A 15,106-nucleotide genomic window follows, 5' to 3' on the forward strand; every position below is an offset into this window, starting at 1 on the left:
TATATATACAATTTTAAATTTTTCTTATGTCTTTTAGTTCTGTACATATTTTAAACTCACAAGACATTTGTTATTATTGTTTTACACATTGCTCATTCAGATTTACTCAGATATTTGCCATTTCTGTTGTTCTTCACTTCTTGCTGCATCTCTTAGCTATAATCTTTTTTATTTTACCCGAAATACATTCTTTAGTATTTCAATTAGTGTAAAACTTTGGTGAATAATTCTCTTTTGTTTATATGAAAGTGTCTTTATTTCACATTAGTTTGTAAGGGATATTTTTGTTGGCTTTAGATTTCTATGCTGACAGTTATTATTTTAGCACAGTTATATTCTATGCTGACAGTTATATTCTTTTAGAACATTGAAGCCATGTTTTCATTGTCTTCTGCCTCTCATTTGTTCTGATGTACAGTCAGCAATAATTTTTTTTTTTGCTACTCCTTTGATGGTAATACCTCTTTTTAATTTTTGTGTGCTTTTCTAGTCTTTAGTTTTCAGTCACATCTATTTTTTTAGGTAAGATTATTTTCAATCGAGTGCTAGACTTTGAGATGAAAATGTGGTACTAACAATGAGGCTCCAGATGATGCTATCTTTTTTCAAAGACATATAACTTTTGCTTTTGGAGCCTATCCAAGTCACCTTAAAGGTTCCTTTGGAGTCCATTCAAGTGTTGTTTTTCTTGTTTCTGGATTATAGCTGTTCGGAGAAATGATGCTATGTGACTTCCAAGATAAGGTCATAAAAGATGATCTAGTTTCTGCCTTGTTCATTGGGCTGTAAGCTGCAGTATGAGAAGATCAACTCTCTGAAGCTGCCATGCCATGAGAAAGTCATGTGGTGAAGCCATATTCAGGCACTCTAGTCAACATTTACATCTGAGCTTAATGTTTGAATCATTTCAACAAAGGCACCAGAAACACAAATAAAGAAACCTCCAAATGGTTTTAGCCTGCAGCCATCAAGTGACTCCCAGCCTTCAAGGCTTTCCAGCTGACGTCCTAATTACAGTAGAGAAGAGACAAGTAGTCACCTCTGTGCCCTGGCTGAATTCTTGACCTGCAGAATCTGTGAGTATAATAAAATGGTTGCTTCATGCCACTAAGCTTTAGGGTTGTTTGTTACACAACAATGGTGAAAGGAATGAGTGTTCTGGAGGTGTCAAAGGAAATAAGGAAATGAAAATGAATAAAAAGTATAAGATTGGAAGAAAAAATAGAGCTGCCATTTTTTATGGTTGATGTTATTGTGTAAATAGAAAATGTAAAAGAATATACAGATAAACTATTAATATTCACATATGAGTTTAGAAAATTACTTGATACAAGGTCAACATACTATAATCAATTGTATTTGTATATTGCGGTTATAAACATTCTACCTTTTTAAAAGGAAATATAAAGGGCAATGAATAGTCAGGACACTTCATGAAGAAGACCAAAGTAGGAGAATTTGCCATATTACATTTCAAGATATTTAAATTTATAATAAGTAATATAGTGTGGTAATGGCACAAGGGTAGACAAATAGACAAATGAAACAGAATACAGACACCAGAAACAGACTCACGCATGTATAATCATTTGATTTTTGACAAAGATGGTATTGCAAAATAGTGGGAAAAGGGTGTAGTTTCAATTATTGGTGCTAGAATAATTGGATAGCTATTTGAAAAAAATTAAACTTGACATATATCTCAAACCTTACACACAAATCAATTCCAGGTGGAATGTAGATCTAAATGTAAAAAGCACCACAATAAAGCTTTTATAAATAAATGTAAGATAACATTTTCACGTTCTCAGGGTCTGGAAAGATTTCTTTAAAAATTCACAGAAAAGCATTAACCATAAAGAAAAATATTTTATATATGACTAATTAAAAATGTTTAAAAAAAGGCTAGCCTCAGGATAAAAGTTACTTGCAACACATAGGGACAAAATGTTGCTATTAGGAATAGAGACAAAAAAATATAGAAAAATAGAAAAAGTTCTTAACAGATATTCCACAAAAGAAAATATATAAATGGCAATAAATATATGAAAAGATGCACAACTTCTTAGTAATCAGTGAAATGTAAATTAAAACCACTGTGAAATACTATTCCTCAGAAAATAAAAGGGCTAAAAGAGAAACAAAGTGTCCAGAATGAGGACCTTACACTACTTTATACAATGCTAGTCATACCATTCTTGGATTATGACATTCAATTCTGGGACGACCTTTTGTAGAAGAGAGAAACTGACAAACTGAAACATATTTAGTGACACCTCTAGAGATCACAGCTTATGAAGAATGGCTAGAGAAACAGGAAATACTAAGTTGGAGAAGAGAAGGCTTCATATTACAAGGATAAAGATGAGTTTATAATGGGTAATTATTAGAATCAAAGAAACATGAAAGGAAACAGTTCTCAGCTTAATCTCAGAAAATAATGTTCTAATGTTTTAAGCTGACTAAAAGCAGAATGGAAATGCCTCTGGAATTTTCAGCTCACTGTAACTGGAGGTGTTCATAAGTAATTTCTGGACAACCACTCTATGGAGTTATTACTGGTAGGATGTGGGGGGAAGATAGAGAGCGTATTAGTCAGGGTTTTCTAGAGGGACAGAACTAATAAGATAGGTGTATATATAAAGGGGAATTTATTAAGAAGCATTGACTCACACGATCACAAGATGAAGTCCCACATTAGGCTGTCTGCAAGCTGAGGAGCAAGAAAGCCAGTCCAAGTTCCAAAACCTCAAAAATAGGGAAGCCGACAGTGCAGCCTTCAGTCTGTGGTCGAAGGTCCAAGAGTCCCAAAGCTGAAGAACTTGTATTCCAATGTTCAAGGGCAGGAAGCATCTAGTACGGGAGAAAGATGTGGGCTGGGAGACTAAGCCAGTCTAGTCCTTCCATGTTCCTTTGCCTGCTTTTATGCTAGCAGTGCTGGAAGCTGATTAGATGGTACCCAGCCAGACTGAGGGTGGGTAAGCATCTCCCAGTCCACTGACTCATATGTTAATCTCCTTTGGCAACACCCTCACAGACACACCCAGGAACAATACTTTGCATCCTCAATCCATTCAAGTTGACACTCAGTATTAACCATCACAGAGGGTTAGAGTGACTTCTGAGGTTTTAAGGGGTTTAAAATTCCACCCTATCCCTATCCTGTCTCTTTCCAATGATAACCAAATTTATTCGCTCCTCCTCTGGAGTCAGTGATACCCAACGGAAGAGTGGGGCAGTAACCCTTACTCAAACTATCAGAAGGTTTTGGAAATAGGGGATGCTCCTGAGTAGAGCCTTATTTTTCCTTGAGACCATTTACTGTTACTGCTCAGGGACAACGCATGAAATGACATTCTATCCCTCTGCTGGAATTCTGTAAAGAGCTAATAAAAATTACATCTCTTAAGTCCGGCGCTTCAAAGCCTTCCACATTGTTTTTCTATAGCTGAGTGGCGCCCTCTAGTGGCTCTAATCATGAACGTACCATCTGGGATGAGATCAGACCTCTGAACACAATACTTCAGGACTCCCTCTGGTAAGGAGTCAATGTTGCTTCCTGCTGATGCACATCACTACATAGCAGGTGACTGAGACAGGATAAGAATTCTTAAGCATAACACTCTGTTACTTAACCTACCCTATCTCCTCTGCAGATACTCCCCTTCTGCTGGCACTTGAAGAGAACAACAGTATATCCTCCAATGTGCGGTAATTTTGTATGTGATTTACATATTTATGTGTTAATGTGTTGTGTGTTAATAGAGAAAAAATTTTATATTACTGGTCTCCCATCTGCCAGAGGAGGCAGGAAGGTGGGCACTAGGGCATCATTGAGTGATGTTGTTGGTTCTTCTAAAAATCAAGGCTCTTTGAAGACCACCAAGACTCCAGACATTCTTACTTTGGAAACGGGAAGATTTGGTTACGCTTTGTGTCCCCATCCAAATTTCATCTTGAATTGTAATCCTCATAATCCCCACATGTCTAGAGAGAGACCAGGTGGGAGGTGACTGGATCATGGGGGTGGTTTCCCCCATGCTGGTCTAGTGATAGTGAATGAGTTCTCATGAGATCTCATGGGTTTTTTTTGTTTGTTTGTTTTTTGTTTTTGTTTTGTTTTGTTTTTTGAGGAGTTTAGCTCTGTCGCCAGGCTGGAGTTCAGTGGCGTGATCTCGGCTCACTGCAACCTCTCCCTGCAATTCTCCCACCTCAGCCTCCTGGGTAGCTGGGATTACAGGCGGCCACCACCACGCCTGGCTAATTTTTGTATTTTTAGTAGAGATGGGGTTTCACCTTGTTGGCCAAGATGGTCTCAATCTCCTGACCTCATGATCTGCCCATCTCAGCCTCCCAAAGTGCTGGGATTACAGGCGTGAGCCACTGTGCCCAGCTGATCTCATGGTTTTATAAGGAGCTCTTCCCCCGTTGCTCCTCCCTCTTCTGTCTCCTGCTGCCATGTGAGAAGGTCCAAGCTTGCTTCCCCTTTGCCTTCCACCATGATTGTAAGTCTCCTGAGGCCTCCCCAGCTATGCAGAACTGTGAGTCAATTAAACCTCTTTCCTTTATAAATTACCCAGTCTTTGGTATTTCTTTATAGCAGTGTGAAACAGACTAATACACACCACTTCACAGTGTATCAAACATAAAAATGCAAATGTACTTATAATCCCACTTAAATATAAATATTAAGCATATTCTAAAATTTGTATAACTTTGTTTTAAAATTTAAAAAATTTTCAGCCACAAGCAATTCATTAAAATATGCTCGACAGTGATTTCTCTGCAGAAACAGGAATTCTGCTTATGTGAGATAAAAATGTAAACTCCAAATTGTTTTCAAATGAAATGAAATTTTTACAAATAGTAAACTTAATATTCAATGAAGTTGACATGATAATGTTTTTCAGACAGTTCATTAAACATTTCTACACCATAATTTTGTAGTGTTTTGTAGGTAAATAATATTTTAACTTTCTCAAAAGTTTAAAAGTAGGTAAAATTTCTGCTTCTGGAAAAGGTGGGGATAGGTGATCTGGAACTCTCTTGATAAAGGGAATTTAAAATATTGGAAGGTATTTTATAATACATGAAAAATATCAAAGACCTCAAGAGGAAAGTGAGGAATTATCAGGGCGAGAAAAGAGGGTGAATTACAACTCCAAAGAGCTCAGTGATGATAAAGAGTGCTTCTGCTGAGGGGGTATTTGCTGATCAAGAAAATTCAGCTACTTTTGGTGTGGCAAATGAAAATAACTCACCTGGAGACTCTTAGTTCTGAGTGAGGGGTGAGAGCATAGCAGTGTCCACTTGAGAAGGGAAAGGGATGTCATACTACGGTAGTATAAGACAAATTATGTTCATTTTGCAAAATGAAAAAAAAAAAACAGAAGAAAGAGTCTCCTGTTGCATAGGCCGAAAAGTGCAATAGCAGTAGCCCTGATGTTGGCAATGAGGAGGGTGACTAGATCATGCTGACTTACTTTTGCCTGATTATTTGTATAAAGATTTTGAGTTGTGTCTAGCAAAGGCAAGAGTTGGATAAGTGGAGAGGGCAGAAAAGGTTATGAGAATGTGGGGAGAAGGTGAAGAAAGAAACAGGAAGAGCAAAGGCATGAGAGTGATCATAAGCATGATGATTGCAGCAGGTAGTCAACAATGATTACGTACATAGGGAAGTTAGTTTGGGGGAGCACTAAGTAAGATTGTATGAATAGTGTGGGCCTAGATTATGGTGAAAACTGTTTAGCAACATAATTTAGGTTTAGTTCGATAGTCAATGGAGAGCTAATTTAAGTATTTCTGCCTACGTTGTCTTCAGTAATATAAGAAAGTGGTGTTTTAGGATGAAAAAATTGCTAACTTTTTTTTTAGTACTTTCACTCTTCCAGGCAGTGAGTTAACAGTAATAGTTAAGAAGGTGGCCTCTGGAGGCTAGCAGCATCCTGATACCAAAGCCTGGCAGAGACACAACAACAAAAAAGGAGAATTTTAGGCCAATATCTCTGATGAACATCGATGTGAAAATCCTCAGTAAAATACTGGCAAACAGAATCTAGCAGTACATCAAAAAGCTTATCCACCACGATCAAGTTGGCTTCATCCCTGGGATGCAAGGCTAGTTCAATATATGCAAATCAATTAATGTAATCCATCACATAAACAGAACTAATGACAAAAACCACACGATTATCTCAATAGATGCAGAAAAGGCCTTCGAAAAAATTTAACAGCCCTTCATGCTAAAAACTCTCAATAAACTAGGTATTGATGGAACATATCTCAAAATAATGAGAGCTATTTATGACAAACCCACAGCCAATATAATACTGAATGGACAAAAACTGGAAGCATTCCCTTTGAAAACTGGCACAAGACAAGGATGCCCTCTCTCACCAATCCTATTTAACATAGTGTTGGAAGTTCTGGCTAGGGCAATCAGGCAAGAGAAAGAAAGAATGGGTATTCAATTAGGAAAAGAGGAAGTCAAATTGTCCCTGTTTGCACATGACATGATTGTATACTTAGAAAATCCCATTGTTTCAGCCCAAAATCTCCTTAAGCTGATAAGCAACTTCAGCAAAGTCTCAGGGTACAAAATCAATGTGCAAAGATCACAAGCATTCCTATACACCAATAACAGACAAACAGAGAGCCAAATCATGAGTGAACTCCCATTCACAATTGCTACAAATAGAATAAAATACCCAGGAATCCAACTTACAAGGGATGTGAAGGACCTCTTCAAGGAGAACTACAAACCACTGCTCAATGAAATAAAAGAGGACACAAACAAATGGAAGAACATTCCGTGCTCATGGATAGGAAGAATCAATATCGTGAAAATGGCCATACTGTCCAAAGTAACTTATAGATTCAATGCTATCCCCATCAAGCTACCAATGACTTTCTTCACAGAATTGGAAAAAACTACTTTAAAGTTCATATGGAACCAAAAAAGAGCCCACATGGCCAAGACAATCCTAAGCAAAAAGAACAAAGCTGGAGGCATCATGCTACCTGACTTCAAACTATACTACAAGGCTACAGTAACCAAAACAGCATGGTAGTGGTACCAAAACAGATATATAGACCAATGGAACAGAACAGAGGTCTCAGAAATAACACCACACATCACAACCATCTGACCTTTGACAAACCTGACAAAAACAAGCAATGGGGAAAGGATTCCCTATTTAATAAACGGTGCTGGGAAAACTGGCTAGCCATATGTAGAAAGCTGAAACTGGATCCTTTCCTTACACCGTATACAAAAATTGACTCAAGATGGATTAAAGATTTAAATGTAAGACCTAACACCATAAAAACCCTAGAAGAAGACCTAGGCAATGCCATTCAGGACATAGGCATGGGCAAAGATTCATGACTAAAACACTGAAAGCAATGGCAACAAAAGCCAAAATAGACAAATGGGATCTAGTTAAACTAAAGAGCTTCTGCACAGCAAAAGAAACTATCATCAGAGTGAACAGGCAACCTACAGAATGGGAGAAAATTTTTGCAATCTACTCATCTGACAAAGGGCTAATATCCAGAATCTACGAAGAACTTAAACAAATTTACAAGAAAAAAACAACCCCATCAAAATGTGGGCAAAGGATATGAACAGACATTTCTCAAAAGAAGACATTTATGCAGCCAACAGACATATGCAAAAATGCTCATCATCACTGGTCATGAGAGAAATGCAAATCAAAACCACAATGAAATACCATCTCATGCTAGTTAGAATGGCAATCATACAACAGATGCTGGAGAGGGTTTGGAGAAATAGGAATGCTTTTATACTGTTGGTGGGAGTGTAAATTAGTTCAACCATTGTGGAAGACAGTGTGGCGATCCCCCAAGGATCTAGACTAGAAATGTCATTTGACCCAGCAATCTCATTACTGAGCATATACCCAAAGGATTATAAATCTTTCTATAATAAAGACACATGCACATGTATGTTTATTGCAGCACTATTCATAATAGCAAAGACTTGGAACCAACTCAAATGTCCCAGTGATAGACTGGATTAAGAAAATGTGGCACATGTACACCATGGAATACTATGCAGCCATAGAAAAGGATGAGTTCATGTCCTTTGCAGGGACATGGATGAAGCTGGAAACCATCATTCTAAGCAAACTATCACAAGGACAGAAAACCAAACACCACATGTTCTCACTCATATGTGGGAGTTGAACAATGAGAACACATGGACACAGGACAGGGAACATCACACCCCGGGGCCAGTCGGGGGGTGGGGGGCTGGAGGAGTGATAGCATTAGGTGAAATACCTAATGTAAACAACGAGTTGATGGGTGCAGCAAACCAACATGGCACATGTATACCTATGTAACAAACCTGCACGTTGTGCACATGTACCCTAGAATTTAAAGTATAATTAAAAAAAAATAAGAAGGTGGCCTCTGGAGTTCCTAACTCTGGAATGTACTAACCATATGATTTTAGGAAAACTATTTTTCTGAGTTTCAGTTTCTTCATCTGTAAAATTAATGTAATAGTACCCACCTCTTGAGGTTGTTTTAAGGACAACATGTAAAGAGATTAATTTGGAATTAGTATTTAAGACAGATTGGAGAAGGGAAAACCTGTGGGTAGGGAACAGTTAACAAAGCTATTGTAAGCACTGAGCCTAGGCAAAGACAGTAAACCACTAGACTGGAGACAGTGGAAAAACAGCAAAGGAAAAGAAGTAGGACAAGCGACTGACTCCTCTCCACTCTCATTCATCTTGCAAATTCCTTTTTTTCTGTTCATTTAACATAATCTGGGAACCTAAAACTACACTTTGAAGTATATGGTCTGTCTCTGGACATTATTAACTGTTTGCTCATTTCCTTAGAGCTACAAATAACCATCTGATCTCTCTCTTCACCATTTCAACATCTGCAATATGTTCTCCCAAATCCCTTACTTCAGTCAGTTAAAAAGCAAAACAAAACAAAAATCATCCATCTTTTTACACAATATTTTCAATCTTTTCTTTGTAATTTATTCCTTCATTCTTAAACTTGCCAATCAGGCCTCCTGCAAATTCCCACGGAAGCAGGGTTCCCTAATTTAACAAAACACAAAATTCAAAAAGAAAACCAATCCTGCCATTTCTGGGCTTAAGGAAACCTGAAACTTTCCTTCAAAACTCTGCAGCATTGCTCAGTACTTTAGTGCCTAATTCCTACAACGAGCTAAGATCAGAAAAATCACTACGTAATAGGAATCTTAAAATGCGCAAGGCTTTGAGAACATGGGTTTTCAACATACAGCTTGCTCTTTCAGGATCTGTCTTCTTATTTGCATATATTTCTGAGCAGGAAGTTATGCGCAGTACTTTTAGTCTCCGCGTGAAAAGGTCCTTCATGCTAATCTAATTCAATTCAGTTCTCCTTTTTCTTTCTTCTTCTCCTCGCCCTCTTCTCAGGGAAGGAATCGTCAAAAATCAATGTTTCAACAGATCTCGCGGTGCTATTCGAGATTCCCTATTAAAAAAAAATAGAATTGATGCAAACAGCCTGTTCCTTCCGGGGTTTTGGGCTGGAACTGCAGCGCTTAGAGAGCTCGGTGGAAGCTGCTAAAGGCGGAGGCGGGGCTCTGGCGAGTTCTCCTTCCACCTTCCCCCACCCTTCTCTGCCAACCGCTGTTTCAGCCCCTAGCTGGATTCCAGCCATTGCTGCAGCTGCTCCACAGCCCTTTTCAGGACCCAAACAACCGCAGCCGCTGTTCCCAGGATGGTGATCCGTGTATATATTGCATCTTCCTCTGGCTCTACAGCGGTAAGGAGAGTGGGGAGTCCACCTTTGTTGTTTTCCTACACACCAGTCCTCTGCTGCCCCAGAACCATTAAAATGCAGAAGTTCCTCTGGCAGCTTCTCCTTTGGAAGACTCATGCATCCCCGATCCCACCCTTCTTCTTCCCTTTTTTCCCTTTGTTGCATCGATTTCATTTTTTTTTTTTTCCACATAGAGTTCAGCTTTGTTTGCTTCGTGACGTTGGGGGGCACATTTCTGCTTTGAAGGAAAACGAAAGCTACCAAGTTTTGGGAGATGGGAGATGGTGCTATACGGTCTTTAGGGTTACGTGAAGTCAAGTAAAATCGCACACTGGTGAGTTTCAAGAGTGAGACATTTGATGAATACGCCCTAAGTACTGAGACAAGGAGGAGTGCACTTCTGTAAAGGATGGGGGTACACATGCTGTAACTGGTGGGGATTGAGTGGAGGCCTACCGAGGCATTGTAATTATTCTGGGTGAGTGAGACCCTGGTAATAGAGTTATTTTGAGAGTGTGTAGAAGAAAGTGGTTAACTTGAGCTTGAAGGCCTGTTAGAACTAGACAAATTGGGAGGGGAAGTTGGTAACAATGACGTAAATTTTTTTTTAACTTAATATGACACGAGATTCAGTTTTCCCCCCATATTGTCCCTTATTTTGACTGTTTCTATTCTTTCAAAATATTTTACTTTTAAATTTCTCTCACTGCTTCAAGTATATTGAGAACTGGATAGGGAGCTCAGTGGCTTCTTGTGTAGTGGCAGCCTGAGTTGCTGCTGCTTCAAATGATAGGACTTTCTCTTTCATGGATTCACTTACTCTTAATTTAGAATAACAAATTTTCAGCAGCTGTCGGGAGAATATGATAAACTGGGGTGCAAGATGAGTGTATATCCATGATAAATGAAAGTGCTTCTGCTTTTTACAACTCAAGAGAAAGGCAGACAGTGGCAAGAACAGATGTGTGGGTTCAGATTGTAGGGTATAGGAACCCCTTCCCTCTTCTTGAGCTTTAGAGCAGCAGCTAATCCAGGTTGTTGTGTGTTTTTATTTTTTGGCTTGTTTATTTACACCTGAGAGGATGTGGAATGGAAGTGGAGGTTATGTTAAATCACAAGAACCTTGATATTTGAACTTTGTCTTCTCTGGCCACCATGTGTGGATATGTTTATGCAATTTTGGAATATCAGAAAATTTAATCTTACATTTTTTGAATAAGTTTAGGTTAAAAAAAAGAACACCTTTTATATTTCCTTTGGACCTAATTTTATGAGCCTCTTGCTTTATTATTTTCCATACATGTTGTCTAATATTTCAAAGTAAAATTTGAGTTGCTCAGAGTCTCAACTCAATCCAATAATTGTAAAGTCCAACTTAATGCCTTTAGTTAAACCCCTAATGAGACTGAACAGATCAGGCAGTTAGTTTTGCTTTGGGAGTCATACAGTTTCAATACTGTTATTTATTCTTTGCTTTCTCCTTCCTCTACCCCTTCTTTAAAAGTAGATTCAACAAGAAACTGCTTTCAGAATTTCTATTCAAGTAAGAATAACTGCACCTCTCTTTGTTAAGTCTTAAGTTTCCAAGAGCCTTAGAAATGGCTGCTGTCTTCTATTATTTCCTTTATTGGACTCCTTTTTTTTTTTATTTAGATTTCAACTTTTATTTTAGATTCAGAGGGTACATGTGCAGATTTGATGCATGGGTATACTGTGCAAGGTTTGGGGTACCATTGAACCTCTCACCCTGGTAGTGGGCGTAGTACCCAATAGGTAATTTTACAACCTTTGCCTTCCTCCCTCCCTCCTCTGTAGTCTTCAGTGTCTATTCTTCCCATCTTTGTTGGACTTTATTGTTGAAGACCATGCAAATGGCAGATGTTTATGGTATTTGTATTTTATTTCAATTTTTTGTCATGAGTAGTTAGAAATTTATTAGAAATTTATCTACTGTAGTAATTATAGTTCAATGAACCTGTTATCAAAATTCTACTTCATAATGCCAAAATAAATCCTTGCTTTATTATACTATTACAACACTTTTAAATAATACCAAAACAGTGTAAAGTGAGTACTTCTTTGTAACATGAATGGAGTGGTGATTATTTACTTCAGAAAGGCACTTTTCAGTTTGCTGTACTAAAGTTTTCCTTTAAGATTGATGCCCTGTTTGTTTTAATACATAAGTTAGAAAGTTTTGAGCAAATATCCTGATGGAGTCCTACAATTGCACATAGTGAGATACTTCAATAAGTGACTAAGTTTAGTTGTCTGAAGAACAGTTAAAAGCTTCTTTGCTTTGGATTGGTGGTAGCTGACTGTTTCTTAATCTTCCTACTGGTTGTCATTAAAAAAAAAAACAACAGATGTTATACTGGTTATACTGGGCAGAGTGGGGGATCTGGATCTGTGATAATTGGCAAGACAATGTTAACTTATTATGGTGGCGGGCGCCTGCAGTCCCAGCCACTCGGGAGGCTGAGGCAGGAGAATGGCGTGAACCCAAGAGGCGGAGCTTGCGGTGAGCAGAGATCGCACCACTGCAATCCAGCCTGGGCAACAGAGCGAGACTTTCTCTCAAAAACAAAACAAAACAAAAAAAGTGGCCTAATAGTGAAGAGTAGCACTTGCTTCTTGAAAGTTTAGAAATGAAAACAAGTATGTTGGTCTTTGCAATGGATTTCATTTTTTATTTTTATTGATATATCATAATTGTGCATATTTATGGGGGACATATGATCTTTTGATACATGCACACAATGTGTGATGATCAAATTAGGGTAATTAGGATATCCGTTACCGCAAACATTTATCATTTATTTGTGGTGGGAACATTCCAAACATTCTAGCTGTTTTTTCTAGCTATACAGTAAATTATATTGGTAACTATAGCCACCCTATTGTGCAATTGAACAGTGGATCTTATTCCTTCTATCTAACTGTATTTGTGTACTCATTAACCAACCTCTCTTAATCCTTCTTTCCCCCTACCCTTCTCAGCCTCTGGTAACCACCATCCATTCTACCCAATATCTTCATGGGATCGACTTTTTTAGCTCCCACATGGGTGAGAACGTGTGGTATGTCTTTTGTCTTTCTGTGTTATGTCTTAGTTCACTTAAAATAATGTCCTCCAGGCTCATCCATGTTGTCACAAATAACAGAATATCATTTTTATGGCTGAATAATATTTTATTTTGTGTGTGTATATATATGTGTGTATATATAAGTGTGTGTATATATATGTGTGTGTGTGTGTGTGTATATATATATATATATATATATATATCACATTTCCTTTATTCATTCACCGTTGATGGACACTTAGCCACATATCATAGTTATTTTGAATAGTTCTTTAATAAACATGGGAGTGCAGATATTTCTTTGATATACTGATATCCTTTCTTTTGGATATATACCCAAAAGTGAGATTGCTAAATCATGTGATAGTTCTATTTTTGTTTTTTGAGGAACCTCTATGCTGTTTTCCATGGCAGCTCTAGATCATGTGGTAGTTCTATTTTTGTTTTTTTGAGAAATCTCTGTGCTGTTTTCCATAGCAGCTGTACTAATTTACATTCCCAGCAAAAGTGTACTAGTATTCCGCTTTCTCAGTGCCCTTACCAGCATTTGTTATCTTTTTGGTAATAGCCATTTTAATTGGAGTGAGATGTTATCTCATTATAGTTTTGATTTGCATTTTCCTGATGGTTAGTGATGCGGAACATTTTTTCTTATACCTGTTTGCGATTTGTATGTCTTCTTTTGTGAAATGTTTATTGAAATCATTTGCCATTTAAAAAAATTGGATTATTTGTTTTTTTGTGGGTTTCTTTTTTGCTACTGACTTCCTTATATATTCCACATATTAATCTCTTGTCAGATGGATAGTTGGAAAATATTTCCTCCCATTTTTAGGTTTCTCCTTACTCTATTGATTGTTTCCTTTGCTGTGCAGAAGCTTTTTAGCTTAATATAGTTCCATTTGTCTATTTTTACTTTCATTGCCTGTTTTTGAGGTTTTACCCAAAAAATCTTTGCCCAGACCAATGTAATGGACTTCTTGATGGTAACCATAATAATGATAGTCAGTAGAAGCCCCTAAGTATGTCAGATACTATCTCATTTTTAAAAATAATCCTTTGAATTAAGCACTATGATTATCTCTGTTTTTCAGAGAAGGAAATACAGTATACAGGTTCAAAGAGTAAATAACTTTCTCAAGGTTACACAGTTGGTAAGCCATAGAGCTTGAATCCAAGCAAGATGTTTGAATCCAAAGAATATGTACTTAACCACCAAGAAATGCATCCTCCCAGTGATTTATGGCAACTAGTAGGCATGAGGAAATAAATTTGAACACGAGTAAGAGGTAGGGGAGGAAGTAAGTCCTGTAAGTGGAAGAAGAGTTGCCTGGGCATGTGCATATAGGGGAATAGAGAAATGGGCAGCTAGTGTGTAGGAGGGATATTGTGTCTAAAAGGGAATGTCTGTAAGTAGGGTAAGTGACTGTTCACCCAAGGCCAAGAAGATAGAGAAGACCTACACAGTTGGAAAGCCTAAACTGGTCTGGTATAGGTCAAGGTATAAAATTCAGGCCTTAATACTGTTTAGTTTGATGGGAACCATTTAACAAGAATGCAGCTTCCAAGTAGTCTGTCTATATGAAGTGATTTCTGCCTGTTCAGAATTGTTTATACATGTCTTAACTCACTGTGACACAGGTATATGCCACGTTTTGTTTCTTGAGATTGTAATGCCTTGTAAATTTACATTTAATGGAAAATGAATAGTAATCTCAGAGCCTATATAAGTTAATAAATTGCAATAACTTCTTAACAAAAATCAACATTGGCCTAGGATGAGAATTGCTAGAGAGATGATAGCTTGGAGAATTTTAACTGGTTTGGGAGTTTTTTCCCTATACATATTTCCCCAAGACCCATAATGATCTCCATTTCATGGCATCTATGCATTCTATTTGTGCCTTGGTGTAGAAATTTTAAGATTGTGGGAAATAGATGATTTCTTAGGGTTTTAATTGTGAAGTAACTTTTAAAAATTGATGTATTTTATATAACTGATAAAACAGAAGCTAGTTGTAGCTTGGATTGTTCACAAATATACATAATTTTTCTCTATGGTTGTACTCTGCACAATTTATAACAACAGATAAAACAATGTTCTGGATTGTGTAATTAGTCACTAGTCACAGTATTTTCTTCATCTGGATAATATAGAAGAGCAAGACACAGTTCTTCATTATGTGGTTCTCAAATAATTGTACTTTAGGCGCAGAATGTTT

The 15,106-nt window shown here is 37.5% G+C and overlaps 2 protein-coding genes across 6 annotated transcripts in view, besides 2 other annotated features; one reads left to right on the forward strand and one right to left on the reverse strand.

The window, feature by feature from the left end:
- The window catches only part of HMGN5 (high mobility group nucleosome binding domain 5), an 88,215-nt gene extending 78,746 nt beyond the window's left edge, over positions 1 to 9,469 (reverse strand). For all 3 annotated transcript variants that reach the window (XM_047442514.1, NM_030763.3, XM_047442510.1), the window contains exon 1: positions 9,293 to 9,469. The gene's annotated coding sequence lies outside the window, so the exon portion shown is untranslated. The remainder of the gene's footprint in view (positions 1 to 9,292) is intronic.
- Positions 9,314 to 9,563: an enhancer, noted in NCBI's record as "active region_29792". NCBI's record gives its function as "activates an Ori minimal core promoter by ATAC-STARR-seq in GM12878 lymphoblastoid cells {active_cell/tissue: GM12878}" and the evidence as "EXISTENCE:reporter gene assay evidence [ECO:0000049][PMID:35858748]".
- The window catches only part of SH3BGRL (SH3 domain binding glutamate rich protein like), a 96,446-nt gene continuing 90,997 nt past the window's right edge, over positions 9,658 to 15,106 (forward strand). The window contains exons 1-2 of one of the 3 annotated variants that reach the window (XM_011531014.2): positions 9,658 to 9,801; positions 9,993 to 10,132. Coding sequence is in view for 1 of the 3 variants with exons in the window: in NM_003022.3 (NP_003013.1) it covers positions 9,757 to 9,801 (45 nt within the window). In the remaining 2 variants the exon portion in view is untranslated. The other 2 variants (NM_003022.3, XM_047442354.1) reach the window with 2 other exon arrangements.
- Positions 9,684 to 9,853: an enhancer, noted in NCBI's record as "active region_29793". NCBI's record gives its function as "activates an Ori minimal core promoter by ATAC-STARR-seq in GM12878 lymphoblastoid cells {active_cell/tissue: GM12878}" and the evidence as "EXISTENCE:reporter gene assay evidence [ECO:0000049][PMID:35858748]".

This window comes from Homo sapiens, chromosome X (genome assembly GCF_000001405.40).
Source record: "Homo sapiens chromosome X, GRCh38.p14 Primary Assembly".
Taxonomy (NCBI): Eukaryota; Metazoa; Chordata; class Mammalia; order Primates; family Hominidae; genus Homo; species Homo sapiens.